This window comes from Homo sapiens, chromosome 17 (genome assembly GCF_000001405.40).
Source record: "Homo sapiens chromosome 17, GRCh38.p14 Primary Assembly".
NCBI classification, from domain to species: Eukaryota; Metazoa; Chordata; class Mammalia; order Primates; family Hominidae; genus Homo; species Homo sapiens.
In genome coordinates this window covers 80801268-80823843 of record NC_000017.11, presented here as the reverse complement: position 1 = coordinate 80823843, position 22576 = coordinate 80801268, and the positions used below count along the sequence as shown (strand labels likewise).

Sequence of the window (22576 nt, the reverse complement as noted above, 5' to 3'; positions counted from 1 at the left end):
CACAGAACAGAAAGAAACCAAACGTCTTCAAATATAATGTCTAGACTAAAAACAAATCACATTATTGTCACTGTTACTACTAATAGGAGTTGTATAAATAGTAGCAACTCAGCAATGGGAGAGAACTATAATCAATAGTCATAAAGGATTACACTTATGAGCGTTGTGTGTGTGTGTGTGTGTGTGTGTGTGTGTGTGTGTGAGAAATAAGCATAAAAACTAATTGATCATGAGCCCAACAGTTTAATTCTCCAGAGCGATCTTGCATGTGCTTCATAAATTCAAGTCAGCAAGTTATTTTCTCACTACTGGTTTCTAAAAGGTTAGAAACTCTCTTGCAAAGTGCTACCCTCCCGAGTTGCAGAGCTGTGAGGCTTCAGCCGGCCGCTGCTCCCGTGCAGTCCTAAAAGGCCCTCCAAGGCTTCTGCCCTCTGAAGGAGACCCCCACTCCTCTGTGTGGAGATCTCTGGGAGCCCTGCATTTAGCTTCACTTGTTAATGCTACACGGGGTCCCCAAGTTAGGTGTGGGGCCTCCCTGCCCAGCTCCGTGCAATTCCATGACATCACAGTGCCACGGAGGGCGGGGGAGCACGGCACCTGGAGGATCCTGAAACACTCACCACATGGCGTGCATGTACGTGGGCGGCAGACGCGGGCTGCTGACGGGAGTGCAGTTATACGACCTCATAATCCTTTCCGCCAATAAAAAATTTCGAAACAGACTAGCCACCAGCAAGTCCTGTCTGAAGAGCTTTTGGAAGAGATCTGAGGGCAGATAAAAGATAAAAAGGAGTCTACAGTGACTTGTGTCTAGCATTTAAAGCCAAATACACAAATTCACTTCTATCAAAAATTACTAAAGTTGGGACTAATATGCATATCTCCCATCAGCAACACACACACACGCTTAAACACACACGTACACACACTTAAACATACACACACGTGCACAAATGTACACACATGCACACATGCATACATACATGTGTGTGCACAGGTGTGTACCTATACAGATACATTACACATGGGCACGCATACACAAATACACGCACACACATACAGGTGTACACATACACAAATACACACACACAAATATGCATATACACACGTGTATGCATACACATGTACACATGTACACACACAGTGCACATATACGTACATGTGAACAAACACCCCAAATCAACCAATCAATAAAAAATACAAACAAGTCTTACAACAGCAATTCTGGTTTCCAGCCAGTGTGAATAATGCCGACGACTCTGAAGATAAGCCGCCGGTGCGCAGTAAGGGCTGTGCACCGGTCAGGGCCAGCGCTGACACGCAGTCTCTCCACACCACCGTTCTGAGAACCTGGCGTGCAGTAACTCACCCCCTCGCAGACACCTCCTTAGGTGGTCGCCTTCTACTTTTCAGCCCCTCCCACTGTCTTCCTCACTAGGGAGGCACTCACGGATCCTATCTGACTCCTCTCATGTCCGAGAGTCGGCTCCCCGCGCACTCAAGGCCATAGCCTCCCTCCCCAAGGCCCGGCCCGCGCCTCACCCCGGGGGAGCACGTTCCACGCGATGGTGTCTGTGATGGCTGTGAAGATCCAGTTCAGTTCACCCAGGGGCGTCCTCCTGTCGTTCAGGCGGCCAGGGATCCTAGAAAACAAGGGGCGTTCTCATGAGTGATGCCACAGCTCTGAGAGCAGGGAATGGAAGAGAGGTTGCAAGAAAAAAGGGCGCGGGCGGCGAAAGGCTCTGAGCGAGGGAGGAAGGCTCTGAGCAGAAGCTTGGCGCACGGCAGGGAGAATCAAACTCTCCATGAGCTCACAGCTCAGAGCTCAACCTCCATCTGCAGCTTTCCTCCTTCCCGCACATCTCCAAAACAGCTTCTTCCTCTGGTGTCCCCAGACTTACAGACCAAGCCCAGCTGGTCACACACATGGTTCCCATGGACCGATGACTGGACCCCAAGGGCAGTCTGTGGCACGTGCTGAAAGCAGTCCACATCATGCTCTGCAGGGTTATACCTCAGCCACCGAACGCTGTGGAAGTACACCGTCCATGCTGGGAGGAGTCTCGCCCGCAAGGTCTACTTTGCTCCCGTGTATTCAACACGCAGCTGATACCTGCGACAGGGATGTGGGGATTGCCAGCGCGCGCCCAGGCCCTGTCCTAAGGGTCTAGGGGGAAGGACAGGTAACAGGCAAATGAACAAGCACACATTAGAGGTGGCAAGTGACGGCAGATGACGCAGAGACAAATACGACAGAGAGTGGGCGGGGGGATGAGGCTGCTGCCATTTCGCATGGGGCAGGCAGCACCAAGGACCACTCCTCAGCCGTGAGGACAGAACCATGACTTTTGCAGCAACTTGGATGGAGCTGGAGGCCATTATTCTAAGTGAAGTAACTCGGAATGGAAAACCAAATGCCACGTGTTCAGAGCCATAAGCATGATCCCGCTGTCAAAAAGATTTAGCTGATCAGCAATTCCCACTGCAGGAACCATCTGATGGCACCGTCTTCATCAGAATAATATTCAAAGAGGCTATGCATCAGTAACACAGGGTAGCTAAGTTCAGTGAACTTCTTTTCTTAAACTGTTGTAGTGGAGTCCCACTGTGTTGCCCAGGCCGCTCTTGAACTCCTAGGCTCAAGGGATCCTCCCGCCTCACCCTCCCAAAGTGTTGGGATTACAGGCATGAGCCATCATGCCCAGCCTAAGCAAGCTTCTTAATGTAATTCTTCAACACATGCTCTTTCTTTCCTTTACGAACAGAAAATAACGTCTTATTTCCTCAAAATAGGTTCAGTGATAGGGCAAGAAAAAGGAGAAATTGAGAAGTTAGTATAATATTCTAAAGCAGCACTGCTGCTCAAACAATGCCGGAAGTCTCAAACAAAGATTTCCAAATTCAAGAAAAATTTCGACCTCCACAGTGGAGACCAGTTTACCCAACATCAGGGTTTTCTAGTCAGGCTGCTGGCCAGGACGGGGATGACGGAGAAGCCCCTTTCATTAGCTGTGTGGGTGGTGGAGGGCAGGCATCATGAAGGATTCCCACCATTTAAAAGAAACCCAGGCCTGGAGGCGAACACACGGCACAAGGACAGCAGAGACTCGTCTCAGCCCCTCCTCCTTCTCCCCAGTCTGCTCTCGCTTCAGAACAAGCATGTCCACTGTGCGCAGGAGGAATGGCCAGGCTGCCTGCCCTCCGACCTCCGAGCAGGGGAGTGAGGAAAAGCAAAGGTGCCCACCCTCTAACAACCTACGACAGAGCTTGGCCCCACGGAGGAATGTGAGGGTGGGGCACACCTCCCAAAGAGAAGACATTTCCTTATGAAATGCAAGCAAACAATCCAGGAACTCATTTTACCAGGTTGCTCATCTCAGCCCTCAAGCGCCAGCGCGAACAGGGGTGGCTGCCCGGGACACAGCCCTAGGAAACAGCACGGAGAAGGGGCACGGGGGGCATCGTGGGGTGGACATGGAGCCCCAACACACTTGTGTCTTGGGTCCCACACCTGCAGATGAGAAACACATATGCTGAAAACCGTTTTAATGAAATGACTGACAAGATCGTCAATAACTGTTCCGCAAAAACACCGCCTCTTTCAAGCTGCAGGACTGTCACCGAGCGCTGCCTGCCCTCCTTACCAAAGCCATGCAGAGGACAGACAGCGCCCAGACCACACGCCGAAGCTCTGTGGCCTAGGATCAGTAAACACATAAGTGGCCCGACTGTGCAAGGAAGGAGGACACGGGAGTTGCTGATCTTCAGCATCCTGTCACGGGTTCTCTCCTCTCTCAACATATCTGGAGTTAGTCAAACTATGAGGGCAGAGGACCGTCCCCAAGCCTCAGGAAGAGAGGCGCCCAGGGCAGGGTGGGGCCCAACACCAACTGCAGAGCTCAGGTCCTCGCTCCATGGGGTTCAGACATGTTACCCTCCCAGCACGACTGTAACAACGTGCCTGGAGCACTGCCAGCCTGGGAAGTGCCCGGAGTCTGTGTATTCAGAGTCACACAGACAAGACCGATTGAGTGACTGATACTGCATCACTCAAAGTCCACACTCTACGTTACACAGCTGGTCTTTCTGGTGTGCAGAGCCCCCATTCTAAGGCAGCTGGATGTGTCTGTCCCTGCCCTAAACAAAAACACTTCTATCCTGTACGAGCGTGCGCTGGCACTACCTTCTTTACCACATGTAAAAGTCGGAAAAATCTACATAGCTCAGTACATCAACTTCCAGGAACCAACCATACCTAAACCGGAAGCAAGATGGGGAAATGGGATGTAGGGTGTGTGGTGCTGTGTCATCTGCCATTGCAGAAAGCCCAAAATTCGCTCCGAAACCAATGAGAGGGAAATGATTAAACAAACCACGCAACAACCACGACGCAGCAGCTACAAGCAGTTAAACTGTTCTGAATATTTCAATAATATGGGACAATGCTTTATAACATTAAGTAAAGAAGCAAGACAAATACTCTATAGTCACGATTACATCAAACATGTGCAAGGAGAAACAATTGGAGGAAAAACCTCAAAATGCGATCATGGGGATACCCTTCCTTGTCTTTATACATCAACATTTACTGCAATGAGTGTGCCCACCTGAGTAACAGGGAACTGCCAAAACCCTGGCTCCTGCATCTCCTCATCCTTGGCCCTGGTGATGCTGGGGAGGGAGCCTAGGGGTGCAGCACAGCTCGAGCAGCTGGCGGGGGCCAGGGCTGCATTCCGGAAGAAGTGCAGGGACCATCACAAGCACAGACAGACCATTTGCCCGCAGGCTGTTTGCAAACCAGGACTAAACACATCCCTAACGTGAGCCCACGTATCCTGAATCGACTGAAGCTCATAGAGCCCCTGCTGTTCCCGAGTCTGTGACCACTGGTTAACAGAAAGCTGCATTCTGAGCAGCAAAGAGCTTCCCACGAGGTCCCACACCCCAGCACTGTCACTGGATGGCCAAGCCATCAAGATAAACGGAGGCCAGATAGGACCAGTGTGTACTTAGTTGTGTTTTTACAAATTGGTATCTTGTGATGATCACCAGTAAATAAATGCAAAGCTAGACTCTCCCAACATGGTCCTGAAAATCCCACTGGTCTCTTCCCTAAGCTCATCGTGAAACCAGACAGAGTCATCTGCCCAGCCGACTTCAGACAGACCCAGAAATCATTCAAGTCGATGAACCAACCATCCAGTGAGCAAAAGCTGATGAGGCTTCTTGATCCAGCAGGCCTGGTCCTACTGGGGGTGACAAGGTGGAACCGAGTCCAGCATCCCTCACTTTTCACGTCACATAAAATTAAATCCTTGCAGAAACGATTTGTTTCTGATTTCCTTTCTGTACCTGATCCTAACCAATGCTGAGTCTTGCCCAACTCGGGAGGCCACTGAGATCACGAGGGGACCACAGAAGAAGCCTATTGGTGTATGTTGTCCATGTCAGACCATGTTTCATTCTAGAAGTTTCTCTGAACCCTCAAAGGGTTAATGATCAAGGTGGCTCTTTTAAAATTTAAATTCAGAGTGTTAATCAAGGACTTCTATGTGAAAACTGTAAAAAGCTACAGTTCAGGAAAAGACTCCTGAATTGGGAGACAAGAAAACTCAAGCGCTGGTCCCAGCCGTGCTATGGCTGGATGACTCGTGGTACCTGTTTCTCTGCTGAGTCAACACAGCTGACCCTGATGCAAAATGGCGACTAAAATAAAACAGATGACACTCCAACAACAGATGTGGCAGATGCCGGGGTGGCCCCCCAACAGGGCCCGCGCCTCCTCAAACTCTCCTTCACTGCCATTGGCAGGAGGGTTTATCTCCACCTTCCCCCACACTTCCGGGCTCACCTGTGGCATGCGGTTTCTTGCCAGGATTTATCTTCCTTACTGCAACATCCAGGTCATCATGATGACCCCGGCCCTGCTAGACTCTGGCAGAACTTCAGCATCCACACCCCATTTGTGCAACCACTGTAGAGTGCCAGGCCAGCTCCGAAATGCCAAGCAGGTGCCCTTCCCCTAAGGCCCCTTCTTCTTCCCTGACACCCCTGGCTGTCCCCACCACCACCCTCTGCTGGGAACTTGTCACTCAACAAGAGCTGCTGTGTCTCCAGCCCTCGCCTTTGATTCTCCACCAGATGCCTGAGGGATCACAGCCCATCACAGTCACTCTCCCAAGGGTGCTCCCTCCCCCACCCCTTCTCCCGGACCTGCCCGGCTCCCTGTCATTTGCCCCATCACTCTGCCTGCTCCCCACTTCCAGCATGAGGTGCCACCCACTCCTTGGGGCCCTGTCCCTCCCCGGTTCACTCACAGGTGCCCACGTGGCAGGTGCTTGCCTCCCAGTCTCTCCAGGTTCCTGCTCTCACCTGGATTCTCGGGGGCGCCTTCAGCTCCGTCTGCACTCAGGAGACGCAACACATGATCTCCTCCCCATGGGGTGGCCGCCTCACTGCCGTCCCTGGCCCCATCCATGCAGAGGACAAGGACAAGGGGCTGTGAGGTCATCAGGATGTCTCCCCTGCAGAACCCCCAGCCTTCCTTTTCCTTCACTTCCAGGCCTAAACTTGGGAGCCAGACAGACGGGGGCTTGAATTTGGCCAGAGACTGGCTCTGTGACTGTGGACTAGCTGCCCAGCCTCTCAGAGGCTTGGATTTTCTTCAGCATGAACATTTACACTACCTCCACCACCGCTGCCAGCTGGGCACTCATGCCGTGCCTCCCGCTGTGCGGCTCGGTGGACCCAGGCCCCCAAGTCACCCACCTGCCAAGTCCACCAAGACTTCCTTCCCAATGCCCACGCCAGGCAGGTCTTATGTTCACTTGCTTTTCAGATGGAGAAACTGAGGCTCTATGAGGGTGTGTCTTCCACTAGAGACAAGTGGCAGAAACCAGACCCAGACCCCGCAGCCGCCTCGCAGGAATGGGAGGACCAGGGATGGGCCGGGGAGACCACTGGCTGCTGGGGCTCAACATGCAGTGGCCGCTGGGGCCTTATGCCTGTCTACCCTGGGGAAAACCCATGTGGCCCTGAAGCTGGCACTAGCTAAGCTCTCCTTGGCCCCCGTAGGCTCCTCTTACCTGCCATGCGAAAGCTGGTTTCTGTCCTCACCGCCCTTCCAAGCCACCTCCTCCCAAGCCCCCTCACTCCAGTGGCTGGCCAGCCTTGCCTTTCTTCATTTGCTGAATCTGCAAATCCTGACTGTCTCTCCCCTGGCACCCGGCTCCTCCCTTAGTGACCTCTGGGAGCACTGCGTCGCCAGCTCTTTTCACACCCCAGGATCTGCTCCAGCGGCAGCCCTGCTCCTTCCAGGTCTCACGACAAGGCGCTTCCCTTCACCCTCGGCTTGCCTGGCATCACAGCTCAAGCGGAACGTGTGTAAAATCAAGTGCAATGCCTCCATCTTCTCCACTGCTGGTCCCCACTCCAAGAGTCCCTGTGGATTCGCGTTTCACTGAGGCTCGAAACCCCGGAGGCCCCAGGCCCTCAGCTGCTCTCTGGTCCTGCACTGGGGCCAGCCAGGCCTCCCAAAGATGCCTCTTCCCACCTCCTCTGCGGCACCCTGCAGCCAGGCCTGCCAGGCGTCCAGACAGCATTCTCGGGCCAGGCCCTTCTGCCCTGGCTCACGCTACACAGGCTGATGGCTCTTAACACACAGCTGGGCCCCCAAACATACAAGGTTCTCCACTGATCATTGTGGTGGTTTTCCATTACTTTTTAGCTACTCAAACAAAATCTTATGCAGGACAAAGGAAAGCAAAACTCCTCTGGCTGGAGGAGTGAGGGCCAAGAGCCCAGTGGCTCTCCGACTGCCTGCGTAGAAGCTGTGTCCACGCCCCTCGGGTCTCGAGAATCGCTCCGTGGAAGCCACCTCGCCAGTCGGGAGGATGCTCTGCACGTGATGGACTGTCCAGCCCTGATTGACGGGGCACGTGGAAGCCACCTCGCCAGTCGGGAGGATGCTCTGCACGTGACGGACTGTCCAGCCCTGATTGACGGGGCACGTGGAAGCCACCTCGCCAGTCGGGAGGATGCTCTGCACGTGACGGACTGTCCAGCACAGGATGACAGCTGAGATCTTCCTCTAAATTTCTTTGGTGCTCAACGAATCCCTTACTTTCTTTTTCTTTTATTACCCGCCATTGTTCCACTGTTAATTTTCTGTGTAGCTAGATAAATTCCCATGGATAATGACTTGTTTTCCTTGACATAAATCAATCTCACAGCTCCCGGCAGCTCGTTAAGCACATGGTGTGATCTCCACAGTCCACAGGCCTGGGCCATGTCACTTCCCCACTTAAAAAACAGCTGCTCCCACTGATGCCGATGGCTGTCTGCTGCCTGTGGACACGGGGCTGGGCCCTTGGCAGGAAAAAGCGCGGTACAGGGACAGTCCCAGCTGGTACGCACAGGGACTGGGCCAGTGTTCAGATGAGGCCTTTCTCTGTTCTGGGTGGCCCTGTAGCACAGCTGAGCTACAGAGTCTGGCCACCTCCGAGTTGGAGTGGCAGCTCTCTCTCCACGGGGCCTGCAGAGGCTGGGCCACCTCTGAGTTGGAGCGACAGCTCTCTCTCTATGGGGCCAGCAGAGCCTGGGCCAGGTGTACATCAGGTCCAGCTTCTGTCCTGGCCTCTGCCAGGTGTTACATCCAACAAACCTTGTGCACCCCTAACTGCCTAGTGTCTGCTCCCCAGCACAGTCACGCGGCTGCCATGGTGGAGGCTGAGTAACTCAAGCATGTTTACCTTCCTGGTGCTATTTTCTGTTCCTCCCCATCTTTCTATTTCACCAAATACATCGCTTTCCAGCCATGTCAGACTTGTCATTCTCAAACATCCTGTGTGCTCTGCTCAGACCACCCTCCTGTCTTCTTGGCTTAGGGGACACCTATGGATCCTTTATCATTTGGCTCAAGTCCGGCCTCCTCTCAGGACACTCCCCTGGGGTCTCTCCCACACCAACCCAGGGGTTCCCTGCTTGGGGCTGCTCCTTTGATGCCTGCCCAGAGAGCTGTGAATGTCTCTGAGACACTGTTGCCTAGGCTGTGTCTAAGCTGAGGCTTGGAGCGCTCTGAAAGTGAGGACTACATTCTTTCTTCATCTTGCTGTTACGATGCTTAGCGTGAAAGTCGAATACAGAACAGATGCCGTGTACATATTTGATGGCATGAAACGTTGAATACAGAACAGGTGCCGCATACATACGATGAGCCAATGGGTGAATCCCCACTGAATGATTGTCAAACTGTATGTAAACAAAATGTTAAATGAAAAACTACGGTTTCCAAGAAATAGGACAAACTCACTAAAAGTACTCAAATGATGATAAAAAAGAAAACAAGATAATACAAATCATCCCAAATTCCATCATCTAAGAAGCTCGTGAAACGCTCTGGTGGCCATTCCCCTAGATTATCTCTTTGGGCACAAAATCAAAAAAATACCCAAGAATACACTTAGACAAAAGTCTGGAAGGGTATACACAAAGTGTTAATAATGGTTATCCCGGCATGCTGGAGAAAATGGATGATTTTAATTCTTTTTGCTTATGTGCTTAATAATCTACACGGAAAACATACAATTTACGTATTAAAGGAAAACAAAACTTTTCCCCCCTTTTTTTAAATAAGAAGGAGGCTACAGCAAGTTTCCTGAAAAGGGAAGATATTTCAAAACTGTCTTATGAAAAAAAAATTTTTTTGAGATGAGGTCTCCCTGTCACACAGGTTGAAGTGCACAGGCTTGATCTCAGCTCACTGCAACTTCCACCTCCCAGCCTCAAGCGATCCTCCCACCTCAGCCTCAGCCTCCCAAGTAGCTGGGACCACAGGCACATGCCACCACACGTAGCTAATTTTTTGTATTTTTGGTAGAGATGGGGTTTTACCATGTTGCCCAGGCTGGTCTCACACTCCTGAGCTCGGGTGATCCACCTGCCTCGGCCTCCCAAACTGCTGGGATTACAGGCATAAGCCACCGTACCGAGTCAAAACTGTATGATTTTAAAAATTTATATCATCTCAGATTAAATTCAGTTAAAGAAGGACACGCACTTAAATTTAAATGACTACTATGAAAATGACGGTGTAGAGAAGCTTGGGCTGGTTCACTTACTTACTGCAAATAATTAATTACTTACAAAGGTTCCATGCCAAGGTCAGGGGAGGTGAACTGAGCAATTTCTTTTTTGAAATAATTCTTTTGAAAATCCAGGTCAGTGCATAATGGCTAGGTTGCTAGTAAGAGGGAAGCTATATATGTCTATCTCAGACCAGTGGTTCTCCACAGTGGGGGCTGGAGTAACAGGAGAGTTACTGAAAGCAATCTGAGCAGGTGCAAAAGCGTGATGAGTTCATCCAGCTTCTCAATGAACGCTGCATTGAAACCTTACACATAAAGCACACACACATGTCGGTCATTGTAAAAATACAACTCTTTGGGGAAAGAAAACAATTCGAAGTGAAGATCAGGAAATAATGCACCAGGTGATAACTTTTCGTGAAACCAGTGAAAATACTTTTTCTTAAGCTAATATTGCTCTGAACCAAGGAAACGTGCATTCCTGTGATATTCTCGTCCAGCCTCTCTTTATTTAAAATGATGTACAATTCAGCGCTCTGTAACATTACCTGATGTTCTCACTACACAGTGCCCAATATTATAGCCATTTACAGACTTTGAGTGATCATAATTAAAGTCCATTTTAGCGTGCATAAAACCCATGGTTTACAAATTATAATACACGATATTGGTCTGAATAGTTTGCAACTTAAAGGTAGAGGAGCGGCCTCTCTGTCAGCTGGGCTGCAGTGCTATAGTCTGGAGGGCAGAGGGACAGGAACGGGAACAAGAGAGCCACATAGAGTCCCAGCTGGACATGGAAGGCTGGGGACGTGGGTCCAACTCTGTGCCTGCGGACCCTCACGTGCAGCCACTGGGCATTATCTAAAAAGCTGAGCCCACCAGATTCCAAATCACGTGCACAAATCTGGGGGCGTGTGGTTCCCACAGGTTTAGGGTTTTGAGAACAGCACGGGCTCCCTTGCGGGTAACGGCAGATGAGGTGATTCAGACCATTCTCACCTGGAGAACAGCTAGAAAGGCTGTGTGTATGTTCGGGAATATTTTAGAAGCAAGGAAAGGCAGCCAGGCTATGAGAAATTATGGGGCCAAGACTCGAGGAGGGGAAGCCAGGGGTTGAGCTTTCGTTTGGGGCCACCTCTCTTGGAAGCATCTGGCAACTCCAAAAAAGGGACCCAGCAGCAGGGACGCTGAGTAGATCACGGCAGGCTCATGGGGCTGGGGAACAACAGCAGGAGGTGATGCACTGCCAAGGAGAAGCAGATCTGGGGAAACTCCTCAGTTGTTGAGCTGAGACTCTAAAAGGCGCGTAGGAGGAAAAAGAAACTCAAAACAATTCAGACTTCACAGCCTCAAATCACCCCAAATACCTGTACAATTTCCGTTTTCAATTTGTAGCATTCAATTAAAAAAAAAAACAGGTAATTACTGGAAAACTGTATATATGTTTGAAACCAAGAAAAGCAGCTGACAAGACAGAGATAGAGGATTTGGATAATGGAGCCGCCAGGCACAGACTTGACAATCATCTTACTTAATATGTATAAGGAATTAAAGGACAAAGTGAACAATTTTGGAAGAAAACTAGAAGCTATTCTTTTTAAACCCTGGAAATTAAAAATTTAGTATATTAAGAAATCAAGGGCTGGGCACAGTGGCTCATGCCTGTAATCCCAGCACCTGGAGGAGGCCCCAGGTAGGGCTGAGGTTGAGGCCTTGTTCGAGAGGGTGTGGCTGTGTCCCGTGGGTACAGTGAGGTCGAGGCCTTGTTAAAGAGGCTGTGGCTGTGTCCCACGGGTGGAGTGAGGTTTAAGCCTTGTTGGAGAGGGCGTGGCTGTGTCCTGTGGGTACAGTGAGGTTGAGGCCTTGTTGGAGAGGGCGTGGCTGTGTCCCGTGGGTACAGTGAGGTTGAGGCCTTGTTGGAGAGGCTGTGGCTGTGTCCCACCGGTGGAGTGAGGTTTAGGCCTTGTTAGAGAGGGTGTGGTTGTGTCCCTTGGGTAGAGTGAGGTTGAGGCCTTGTTGGAGAGAGGCGGTGTCCCTTGGGTAGAGTGAGGTTTAGGCCTTGTTGGAGAGGGCGTGGCTGTGTCCCGTGGGTACAGTGAGGTTGAGGCCTTGTTGGAGAGGGCGTGGCTGTGTCCCGTGGGTACAGTGAGGTTTAGGCCTTGTTGGAGAGGGCGTGGCTATGTTCTGTGGATAGAGTGAGGTTTAGGCCTTGTTGGAGAGGGCGTGGCTGTCTCCCACAGGTAGAGAAGAACACATGTGAGATGATCTTCAATGAAATGCAAGTAAAATCCCGCAATCTATCCAAGGGTAATATACCATGACCAGCTGGGGTTTACCACAGGGATGCAAGACTGTTTAACATCTGAACATCATTCATGTGATGCACCATCTGAACAGGGTGAACAGCTGTACGATCCCCTCCACAGACACAGAGGAAGCCGCTGACGAATTCCAACAAGAACTCACGAGAAAAACTCTCAGAAAACTAGGTCTAGAAGCGCACTTCCTCAACCTGATAATGGGTATCTATGAAAAATTCACAGCACATATTATACTTAGTAGATTTAGATAAAATGTTCCCTGTCATTGATCCTTGACTCAGATCAGGGCTTCAACACCCAGCTGTATTGCGTCCATTTAACATTATACTGGAGACATTACGCAGTGCAACAAAGCAAGAAAAAGAAATTAAAGACATAAACATCGGAAATAAAGAAGTCAAACTGTATGTATTTTCAGATGACATAATTACACACATAGAGGATCTTAAGAAACCTTTCAAACAGCTCCCAGAGCCAATAAGTGAATGTAGCAAAGTTAGAGGAAATGAGGTCACTATGCAAAAATCAATTACATTTCTATATGCTGTCTTAAATAATTTTTAAACTGACATTAATTTAACAAAATATTTGCAAGATATGTACAGATAAAGCTCCAAGGCACCAAGACAACTAAATCAGTATGTGATGATTATGGAAGATGAAGCCACTATGTGCATGGGTCAGAAGACTCCATATTACTAGGATGGTAATTCTCCTCAAATTCATCTAGATTTAATGTAATTCCAGTCAAAATCTCAGCAGGCTTCTCGTTAGAACTGATAAACTGATTTTTAAATTCATATGAAATGCAAGGATCTAGAGTAGCCAAAACCATTTTGACAAAACAAAACAAAACAAAACAAAACAAAAACAGAGACTTACAATAAAGCTACCGTGATCAAGGTAATGTGGTATTCCTATCTTTATGCCAATAAAGATAGACACACAGATCAAGAGAATAGAATAGAACTATACAGTTATAGTCAAATGATTTTTGTCAAAGGCACCAAGGAAATTCAATGACAAAAAGATAGCCTCTTCCACAAACAGTGCTGGAACAATTTGGTATCTATATGGAAAATAATGATCCTTGACTCTTGACTATATTAAAAAACAACTTGAAACGGATCGCAGACTTAAAAGTTAATCATAGTTCACTAAGTTCATCATAAACATGAAAGTTAAAACTAAAAGTTTTAGAAAAAAATAGAAAATCTTCACAACCCGAGGGTTGGCAAAGATTTCTTAGGTAGGACACAGAAAGTACAAATCATAAAATAAATAAATGATGAAATCGGACTTCATCAAAATGAAAAACTTCTGTTCTTCAAAAGACTGTTTTATTTATTTATTTATTTATTTATTTATTTATTTATTTATTTATTTTGAGATGGAGTCTCGCTCTGTTGTCTAGGTTGAAGTGCAGTGTCACGATCTCAGCTCACTGCTGGACGGACTCAACGTCCGCCTCCCGGGTTCAAGCGATTCTCCTGCCTCAGCCTCCCGAGTAGCTGGGAGTACAGGTGTGTGACACCACACCCAGCTAATTTTTGTATTTTTATTAGAGACGGGCTTTCACCGTGTTAGCTAGGATGGTCTCGATCTCCTGACCTTGTGATCTGCCCACCTCGACCTCCCAAAGTGTTGGGATTACAGACGTGAGCCACCACACCTGGCCTAGACTGTTTTAGAAATAAAAACACAAGCCACAGACTTAGCAAAAATGTTCACAATGTATAGATAGGACAAAGACTTGTGTCCAAAACACATGAAGGGCTCTTGAAGACAAACACCACAATTTGAAAATTGGCAAGAGACTTGAACATCCATTTTATTAAAGAATATAAATTAATGGCCAATAGCAGCATAGGAAAAGCTGCTCTGTCATCATTAGGCAAATGTAAATTAAAATAATAATGATATTGTGTTATACTTCGGTAAGATGGCCGGACGCGGTAGCTCACGCCTGTAATCCCGGCACTTGGGTGGCCGAGGTGGGTGGATCACTTAAGTCAGGAGTTCGAGATCAGCCTGGGCAACATGGTGAAACCCCATCTCTACTAAAAATACAAAAAATCAGCTGGGCGTGGTGGCGCCCGCCTGTAATCCCACTTACTCAACAGGCTAAGGCACGAGAATTGCAGGAACCCGGGAGGCGGAGGTTGCAGTGAGCTGAGACTGTGCCACTGCACTGCAGCCTGGACAAGAAAGTGAGACGCCATCTCAAAAAATAAAATAAAAAAAACCCCGAAAAGGCAGAATGCCAAGTGTCGACATGGATGCGCCACAACTGGCACGCTGTTGTTACTGGCAGGAACTCAGGTCAGCAAACCACTTTGGAAAACAGTTGGACAATTTCTTATAAAGTTAAACACACACCTACCATATGACCAAGCAATTCACTCTCCGGTATTTATCCAGGAGAAATGAATATATATGCCCACACAAAGACTTGCACATGAATGTTTACAGCAGCTTTGTTCATAACAGTCAGGACAGGAACAATTCAAACGCGCATCAACAGGTGAAACAAACTGTGACACACAGGGTGACGGGCTGTTACTTATAATGAACAGGAACACACTACTGATACTCCCAACAAGGAGACATCTCAAAGGCATGATTCTGAGCCAAGGAAGAGACAGAAAAGAGCACATACTTTATCATTCTGTTTACAGAAAGTTCTGGAAACATCAAATCGAATGTATAGTGAGAAAACCCAGATCAATGGTTGCCTGGGCTTGAGGGATAAGGAGAGGGATTAACTGGGACAGGTACAAGGGGACACACGGGATATACGCTGACTGTGGTGTGGCTCCACGGGCACAGTGGTCTGTCAAACTCATCAGTTGTACAGCTCAAGTGGGTATATTTTATTGAATGCACCTCAAGAACGCTGATTTGAAAACGTGAAAACAAAGGAGAAATGATGGCATTTTCAAACAAATAAAAATGAGAACTTTTTCCCAGCAGATCTGTACTAAAGGGTACTCTGTTTTTGTTTCTTTTAGCAGATGGGGTCTTGCTCTGTCACCCAAGCTGGAGTGCAGTGGTGCATCACGAGCCACTGCAGCCACAACCACTGGGACTCAAGTGATCCTCCCACCTCAGCCTCCCAAGCAGCTGGGACTACAGGGGCATGTCACCAGGCCCAGCTGATTTTAATTTTTTCTGTAGAGCTGGGGTCTTGCTATGTTGCTCAGGCTGGTCTTGAACTCTTGGTCTCAAGCAATTCTCATGCCTCAGCCTCCCAAAGTGTTGAGATTACAGGTGCACACCATCATGCCTAACTTTTTTTTTTTGGTAGAGATAGGGTCTTATCATGTTGCCCAGGCTGGTCTTGAACTCCTGGCCTCAAGTGATCCTCCTGCCTCAGCTTTCCAAAGCATTAAGATTACAGGCATGAGCCACTGTGCCAGGCTTAGATTAGTTTTTAGCAGGATGCACGTTATAGTTTCTAAAGCAGGTCACCAAAACTATGGCCCAAGGACCACATCCAGCCAGGAGCATGTTTTCTTAAGGCCCCCAGGCTAAGAATGGTTTTTACATTTTTAAAGAGTTGTAACAATGGGAAGACTATGAGACAGAGACCTTACATGGCCTGCAAAGTCTAAGGCATATACTATCTGGCAGTTAATGGAAAAAACAGGATGCTCAAAGTATAGTAAAGAATATAAAATTAACAAGCCAACAGAAGAGAAGAAAGGTGTAATAAAATTGCTAAATCAACTCAAAAGATGGTAAGGGAGGAGAAAAAAGAAAAGTTAAAAAAAAAAGGGGCTTGGCCGGGCACAGTGGCTCATGCCTGTAACCCCAGCCCTTTGGGAAGCCAAGGTGGGCGGATCACCTGAGGTCAGGAGTTCAAGACCAGCCTGGCCAACATGGTGAAACCCTGTCTGTACTAAAAATACAAAAAATTAGCCAGGTGTGGTGGTGTGTGCCTGTAATCCCAGCTACTTGGAAGTCTGACGCAGGAGAATCACTTGAACCTGGGAGGTGGAGGTTGCAGTGAGCTTGAGATCGTGCTATTGCACTCCAGCCTAGGCCACAAGAGTGAGACTCCGTTCCCCCCGCTCCAAAAAAAAGGGTGGTGGGGTGGCTAGAATAAAAAGCAACAGGAAAAAAAAAGGATGAAGCAAGTAGGAGGCAGACTTAAACCCAAATATATCAATTACTACACTAAATGTAAACAAACTAAATACTTTAATTAAAACCAAAAATGTTCTGTCTCTATTTTAAAACAAAACTAAATAAAAGCTAACTATATTGCCAAAAAGAGATCTACCTTATATACATATGGATAAAAAAGATGCATTCTGCAAACACTAACCAAGAGACAGTTGTTCAGCTACGATACTTTAAAAATGTGGACTCTAAGGCAAAAGGCATTACCAGAGATAAAGGGTGACATATCTTGATGATAAAAGGTTTGCTTCATTCTCCCAAGAAGGGTGAGTTGGTACGGTTAATCTGGCCTTCTTCAGTTCTGAGGGTTAATGCATGTGGTCAAAAGGGAAATGAGTTTTTAATTTAAAGTAAAATGTAAAAACTTGTCAAAATTATTTCTTCAACAAGAAAAGAAGAGGCTGTTAAGATATATGTATAAGCAAAAGAGAATTTAAAAAAAAGAAAAAATCAAAGAAAAAAGATATACGTATAAGCAATATTCCTAATTAAAAATGGGACAGATTATAGGAAACCATAATATGGCACAAGGCTGATGATGGTAGAGCAGGGATTTGGGGCAAGGTTGTTCTTGGAAAACGACTAAGTATTCACAACACTGATGGTAACTAAAGTATAGGCAATTAAGGTGGTCAGTGTGTCTAGGTCCCCAATTAACATAAGAGTAGAGATCATTTAAATAAGAAGCTTTCCAACTTGTTTGATCATGAGCCCTAGGAATATTTTTGGTGACCAGACAAACACACATACACAACCACATATAAAGATACATATTCACAGGTTCGTACCCTGTCCATGCCTCCAAACAACAGAAACAAAAAAGCAAACCAAAAAAGAGATACATGTTCAAGCAACAGGACCACGGAACACTTATCTTACTATGAAAACAATGACATTTTCTTCTTTTTTAAAATGCTGGCTGTGACCCACCTAACTGGTTTCATAGCCACTAATCAACCATGACTTGAACTTTGAAAAACATTGACTTAAAGGAAGCAGTTGTTAATTTCTCCAGGAGGATATACTGGCTCAGGGTTACCGAAATGGTTTGGAGTGAACATGGCACCCGAGAGACAATAGAAACTAGAAAGTTCCATAATTCCACCCCTGCATAAGCTGACTGGCTTTTTAAAAACCACCAGAGGCGGCTTGTTTTTTAATGATTTTTAAAAATCTCTGCTCGGTTTCTAAATCACATGGTTCATATGCACAGTGCTGCCATCTCTTTGGATCCTGTCCTTCCGTATTTAATGGTTCCCCTAGTACAGACTTCTGCTCATCTTTACTTGTGAAGTAAATGTAGGGTTGAACTCGGGAGGAAGTTTCCCTGACTTAACAGTAAGCAGAGTTAATATTACAGGAGATAATTCACCTTTTACCTGACTTACTATAGAACGACAAATTATTGCCCCTTCCTGGAGTCAGTCAACAACAACAATGGACAGGAATGGCCACTCTGGAGGCTGCAAACAAAAACCACAGGGAGAGATGGGGCCACAGCGAGGCGAGGGGTAATTCCCCATTTTCTTATTCAACATGTTGATGACATAATGAAAAGCAGATTCTTTTTTATTAAACAGGCAGATTCCAAAGCCCATCAGAAAGACATCTGAGCCCATGTTTATTTTTGAAGCACTTCTGCAAAACAGATTTTCTGTGGGCTTCCCGGTGTCAGGGCCGACCTTCAGACAGACCTTTCCTGAGAGGCAGCTGCAGGAGTCACATGGGAGAAGCCACCTCCAAGCAGAGTCTCCTGAGAAGCTGCTGAAAGGCCTGCCACATCGAGAAAAGCAGCTCCTAAAATAAGGGGAAGCAGGACGGGCTCCAGCAGAGCCGGGGTTGGGGAGCACTTCCCTCCGGAGGCACTGGCCGCCTCCAGGCTGTCTCCAGACGCCACTCTCACCTGCACGCTGCATCTCATCAGGGAGCTTCTCTGCAAAAATCTGGCCTAAAGAGGGTGGGAGGGGAGGAGGGTGAGCTTCCAGGATGGGGCGTGGAGCTCTCCTGCTGTGGAAGTATCTTCAACGAACACTCCACGGTTCTGACAGAGATTGCCACCACCTTCCCCCGACTGTCCTGAGCTCATCTGGATCTTTCTGTCTCTGAAAAGATGCTGAAATCCCAGAGTCACTTCCTAGCCTGGTTGTAAATTGTGTCTTCCTGTGAATTTGTTAAAACACCCTAGGAAAGACAGTTTCCAAATACAGGCAGCCTTGTGTGGTTATGCCTGATTTCTGGGATAATCCTCTGAGGTTTTCCTGGTGGGCATGCATCACACAGAAGGTCAGCACTCCTCCTACCACTGGGCACCCGGGGCTTGGGTCAAAATAACCGGTCTCTCCTCCCATGCTGTACACATCCCCTCATTTTGTCAGGTCCACATGGAACCCGCCCTTTGAGACCAGGCATCTTGATGCAGAAAACTCATGCCACTTTCCTCAGAATCGCACTCACAAACACGCAGAGGGACGTGAAGGGATGGACGTCCTTCCACACGCCAGCCGATGCAGAGTTGGGGGTGGCATCACACAGACCCGGCTCTGTCCTCCAGGCTCGGCCACTCCTAGCTGTGCGACTTTGGGCAGGTGAGTTAACCTCTCTGAGACTCAGTCACTTCATCTAGAAAATGAAGGAAACACCTTCGCGTGGGCCTGGAGCTGTCTTCGGGGCTTGCTGCTGTCCTCCCTGGGACGGGGCGGGACAGGATGCCTTTGTCTCTGTAGATCTATGTTTTGCTTTAGGGAAACAGAAGGCAGGAAAGGAGCTCTCTTGCACTTGCTTCTTAATTGTCTTCAGCCCAACAATTCTTCATATTTCGGGGAGGCACATTCTGGTCTCCAGAAACAGCTAGAAGACACAGCAGCTACACACGCAGCCACACTAAATCTGTTTGGGTCATCATCCATGGAAATAATCGTAGAGATCTCTTAGCCTCTTCTAGCAAAAGGAGTGCTCGCCCGCCTTCTCAGGTGAGAACACCACGGCCCTCCTGCTGGCCGTCAGTCGCCCCCACCCCCTCTGCAAACGGAGCCACTAGTCAGGCTTGTGCCACTGCCCCTTCTGCGGCCACTGCGGGTCACGCCACTGATTCATGGAGCAAAATGTCCTCTGTAGGTAGCCATCAAGCTCCTAAGTGCCTCAGTTTCCCCATCTGATGCAGTGGTCTGAGTCAGACTCACACAGGCCCCTGTAGACCCATTAAGTGCTGCCAGGTTAGCGGTGTTAATTATAAATACTGAAGCTACATATGCCTCTTTCAAAGAAGGCCCTTGCCACACAGCCCAAGCTCGTGCCTGGCTCAGAGGCTGTGGGGCTCCCCGTCTGGAACGCTGCCCCTGGTCCCGGCATGGCTGCTCCCGTCTGGCCAGGTGGTCTCAGTTCCAGTGTTGCCTCTTCATGGGCCTCATCAGGCTGCCCAATCAAAGAAGCATCCAGGCACTCTTGTGTGCGATCACATGGCTCTCCTGGTACATTCACACTCCTCTTATGTGCGTTTCTTCCCCTGATCAGGATGTAAGTTAACGAGCAAGGACTTGGCTCCAGAGCCTCGGACAGGCCCTAGCACACAGCCAGTCCGCAGCAGATGTCTGCTGAATGAACGGTGAATGAACAAACGTGCTGAGAAACACACGCGGGGTCTGAAAAGTGCGCTCGAGCCTGGAACCCGAGGCCCCGCTGACGAGCTGGCCACTCACGCAAAACATACTGGCATCGAGGTCAGAAGACAACACACGCACATCAGAACGGGGAGGCCTTTCTCTGAAGGGCCACAGGGCACAGCGACCAGGCTCTGACAGAGGGGACTGTGCAGCACGGAGCAGCAAACTGAGAAGCCAGCAGCGGCGGCTGGGGGCAGACACAGCAGGACGGGTGGGGGCGGACACAGGCTCCGCCACCGACAGGGGACCCTCGTGTGACTCTCTGTGACCCTGAGCAAGTCTCTCCACCTCCCTTGCCTCGGTTTCCAGAAGTTTAAATGGAGATGGCCTCAGAGGCTGCTCGCCGGGTGGCTGTGATGAGCACCGGAAAAGCCACCACACACCCGGGGTCCCCGGTTATGCTGGCGCCTCACGCCACACTGCTTTATCACCGATTGCAAGTCTGCAGCCACGCACATAGGAACAACGGCAGGGCACTGAATCCTGCAGGATAAACAGATCCAAGGAGGCACCCCTGCCAGAGGAGGCACTCCAGGCACCCCACCAGAACCAGGGGTTGTGAGGAACCGAAGGGCCGTGCGGGCAATGGAGCTGGAGCAACAGACTCTCAGGGAAGGTTAAGGAGAAATGGCAGACTGGACGGAGGGAGGTGCACCTGCTGAACTACGATGCGTCTAGAGAAGAGGCATCAATGGGGGCTGAGCCTCATCCCGGTTATGCGACCGCAGTGACGTGTGCCTCCATAGGTACTGAGCCGTCTGAGATGACTCCTACACAAGAGCAAAGGCCAACATCAGAAAGGACGGCCAAGGGGCACTGACCAGGCACACGCTCAGCCTCACTGCGGCCTCTTCCTCGCTCTGCACCTGGGAGCCTGCCTTCAAGGAACGGAAGCTGCCCTCCAATCAAGCTGTGCTCCTGCATCTCCGCAGAGCGAGGGCTTCCTTTAGAGATATCCAGACACATGCATTTTCTTTTCCTTTTCTTTTTTTTTTTTTGAGATGGAGTCTCACTCTGTCGCCAGGCTGGAGTGCAGTAGCATGACCTCAGCTCACTCACTGCAACCTCCGCTTCCTGGGTTCAAGCGATTCTTCTGCCTCAGCCTCCCAAGTAGCTGGGACTACAGGTACACGCCACCATGCCCAGCTAATTTTTGTATTTTTAGTAGAGACGGTTTCACCATGTTGGCCAGGATAGTCTCGATCTCTTGACCTCATGATCCGCCTGCCTCAGACTCCCAAAGTGTTGGGATTACAGGTGTGAGCCACTGCGCCCAGCCCACGTTTTCTTTAGGATGCTGGGAGGTGCAGAGCCGTGAGGAGGTGGAGCGAATGCCACAGATGTTACAGCTCCGTGCTCTGTGGCGCAGGCCTTTGTTTTGATGACAAATACCAGGGTTTGGGTACCACTGTGAAGGAAACGGAAGATCTCCGTGCTGTGTGCAGGTTCCCTGGGGTGGCCTCTGAACCTCTCACATTCCCCCTTGGCTGCACGTCTGCAATTTCATCTCAGAACCAAGCCTCCTCCACCCCTACCAATCCGGATGAGCTAAGGAGGCCTTGCTGGGGTGCACATCGAACACGAAGGGGACCCGGTGCCCGTCTTCCCTCTGCCCGTGGGGGGACCTTAATGAGAGGCGCCCGGGCATAAGGACCCCCGTGCAGCACCGTGCGCCCTGGCGTGGCGCGCACGGGAACGCTGAGGTGGCTGTGCTCGGGCAGGCAGGGGTGATCTGCTAGGTGGCGGCGGTCCCCCGTTTCCGCCAATCACTCACCTCCCCCTCGCTCGGCGATCTCTCGGGTTTTGCTTCCACCTCTTCATTTCTAAATCAGCGTCTAGTGCCTCGTTACTCATCTCAGCAGTGACTGGCAGACGTTAATGAATTACTGATTTTCACCTTTACCAGCCAATATTGTATATTTATGTTGGAAAGAAAGGTATTTTTTGAATCAAGACTGGGATCTTTTGATAGTTTTCCTTTCAAACATAATCCATGTGTATGACTTCCCTCGATGAAGTGAATTCTAATCACAGCCGCTGTGCCTCTGACACGAGTGCTGCCCCCCCAAACCCTGTGCAGACCTTCTAGAGGTCTGGGCTCCTGTTGAGGAGCCCGTGCTCTGTTCACACAGCCCATGCCGAGGGGAAGGAGATGCAGGCTCCAGGGAGGCTGCCAGCAAATCCCTGTCCCAGCTTGTCCTAATGGTGTGGTGCTTGGCAGGCCCTGTGCTTGCTGGGTGCCTCAGTTTCCCCATCTTTTAAAAGGTAGATAACAACAGCACCCACCCTTGAAGGGCTCCAGGGAGGACTTACAGGTAATGTT

The 22576-nt window shown here is 49.2% G+C and overlaps 1 protein-coding gene and 1 long non-coding RNA gene across 3 annotated transcripts in view, besides 2 other annotated features; one reads left to right on the top strand and one right to left on the bottom strand.

Moving 5' to 3' along the window:
- Window positions 1-22576, bottom strand: part of RPTOR (regulatory associated protein of MTOR complex 1) — a 421531-nt gene that overhangs the window by 142525 nt on the left and 256430 nt on the right. For both annotated transcript variants that reach the window (NM_020761.3, NM_001163034.2), the window contains exons 8-9: window positions 1543-1643; window positions 621-765 (exon numbers count right to left, since the gene is read on the bottom strand). In NM_020761.3, coding sequence (NP_065812.1) covers window positions 621-765; window positions 1543-1643 — 246 coding nt within the window. The remainder of the gene's footprint in view (window positions 1-620; window positions 766-1542; window positions 1644-22576) is intronic.
- Window positions 2824-3427: an enhancer, noted in NCBI's record as "H3K4me1 hESC enhancer chr17:78794217-78794820 (GRCh37/hg19 assembly coordinates)". NCBI's record gives its function as "activates a minimal SCP1, AML or CMV promoter by ChIP-STARR-seq in primed H9 embryonic stem cells {active_cell/tissue: H9 hESC(primed)}" and the evidence as "EXISTENCE:reporter gene assay evidence [ECO:0000049][PMID:30033119]".
- Window positions 12074-12575: an enhancer, noted in NCBI's record as "H3K4me1 hESC enhancer chr17:78785069-78785570 (GRCh37/hg19 assembly coordinates)". NCBI's record gives its function as "activates a minimal SCP1, AML or CMV promoter by ChIP-STARR-seq in naive and primed H9 embryonic stem cells {active_cell/tissue: H9 hESC(naive and primed)}" and the evidence as "EXISTENCE:reporter gene assay evidence [ECO:0000049][PMID:30033119]".
- On the top strand, window positions 18212-22204 carry LOC101928855 (uncharacterized). The gene is made up of 4 exons (NR_110852.1): window positions 18212-18877; window positions 18970-19179; window positions 19336-19563; window positions 20105-22204. It is a non-coding gene; the product is annotated as an uncharacterized LOC101928855 (long non-coding RNA).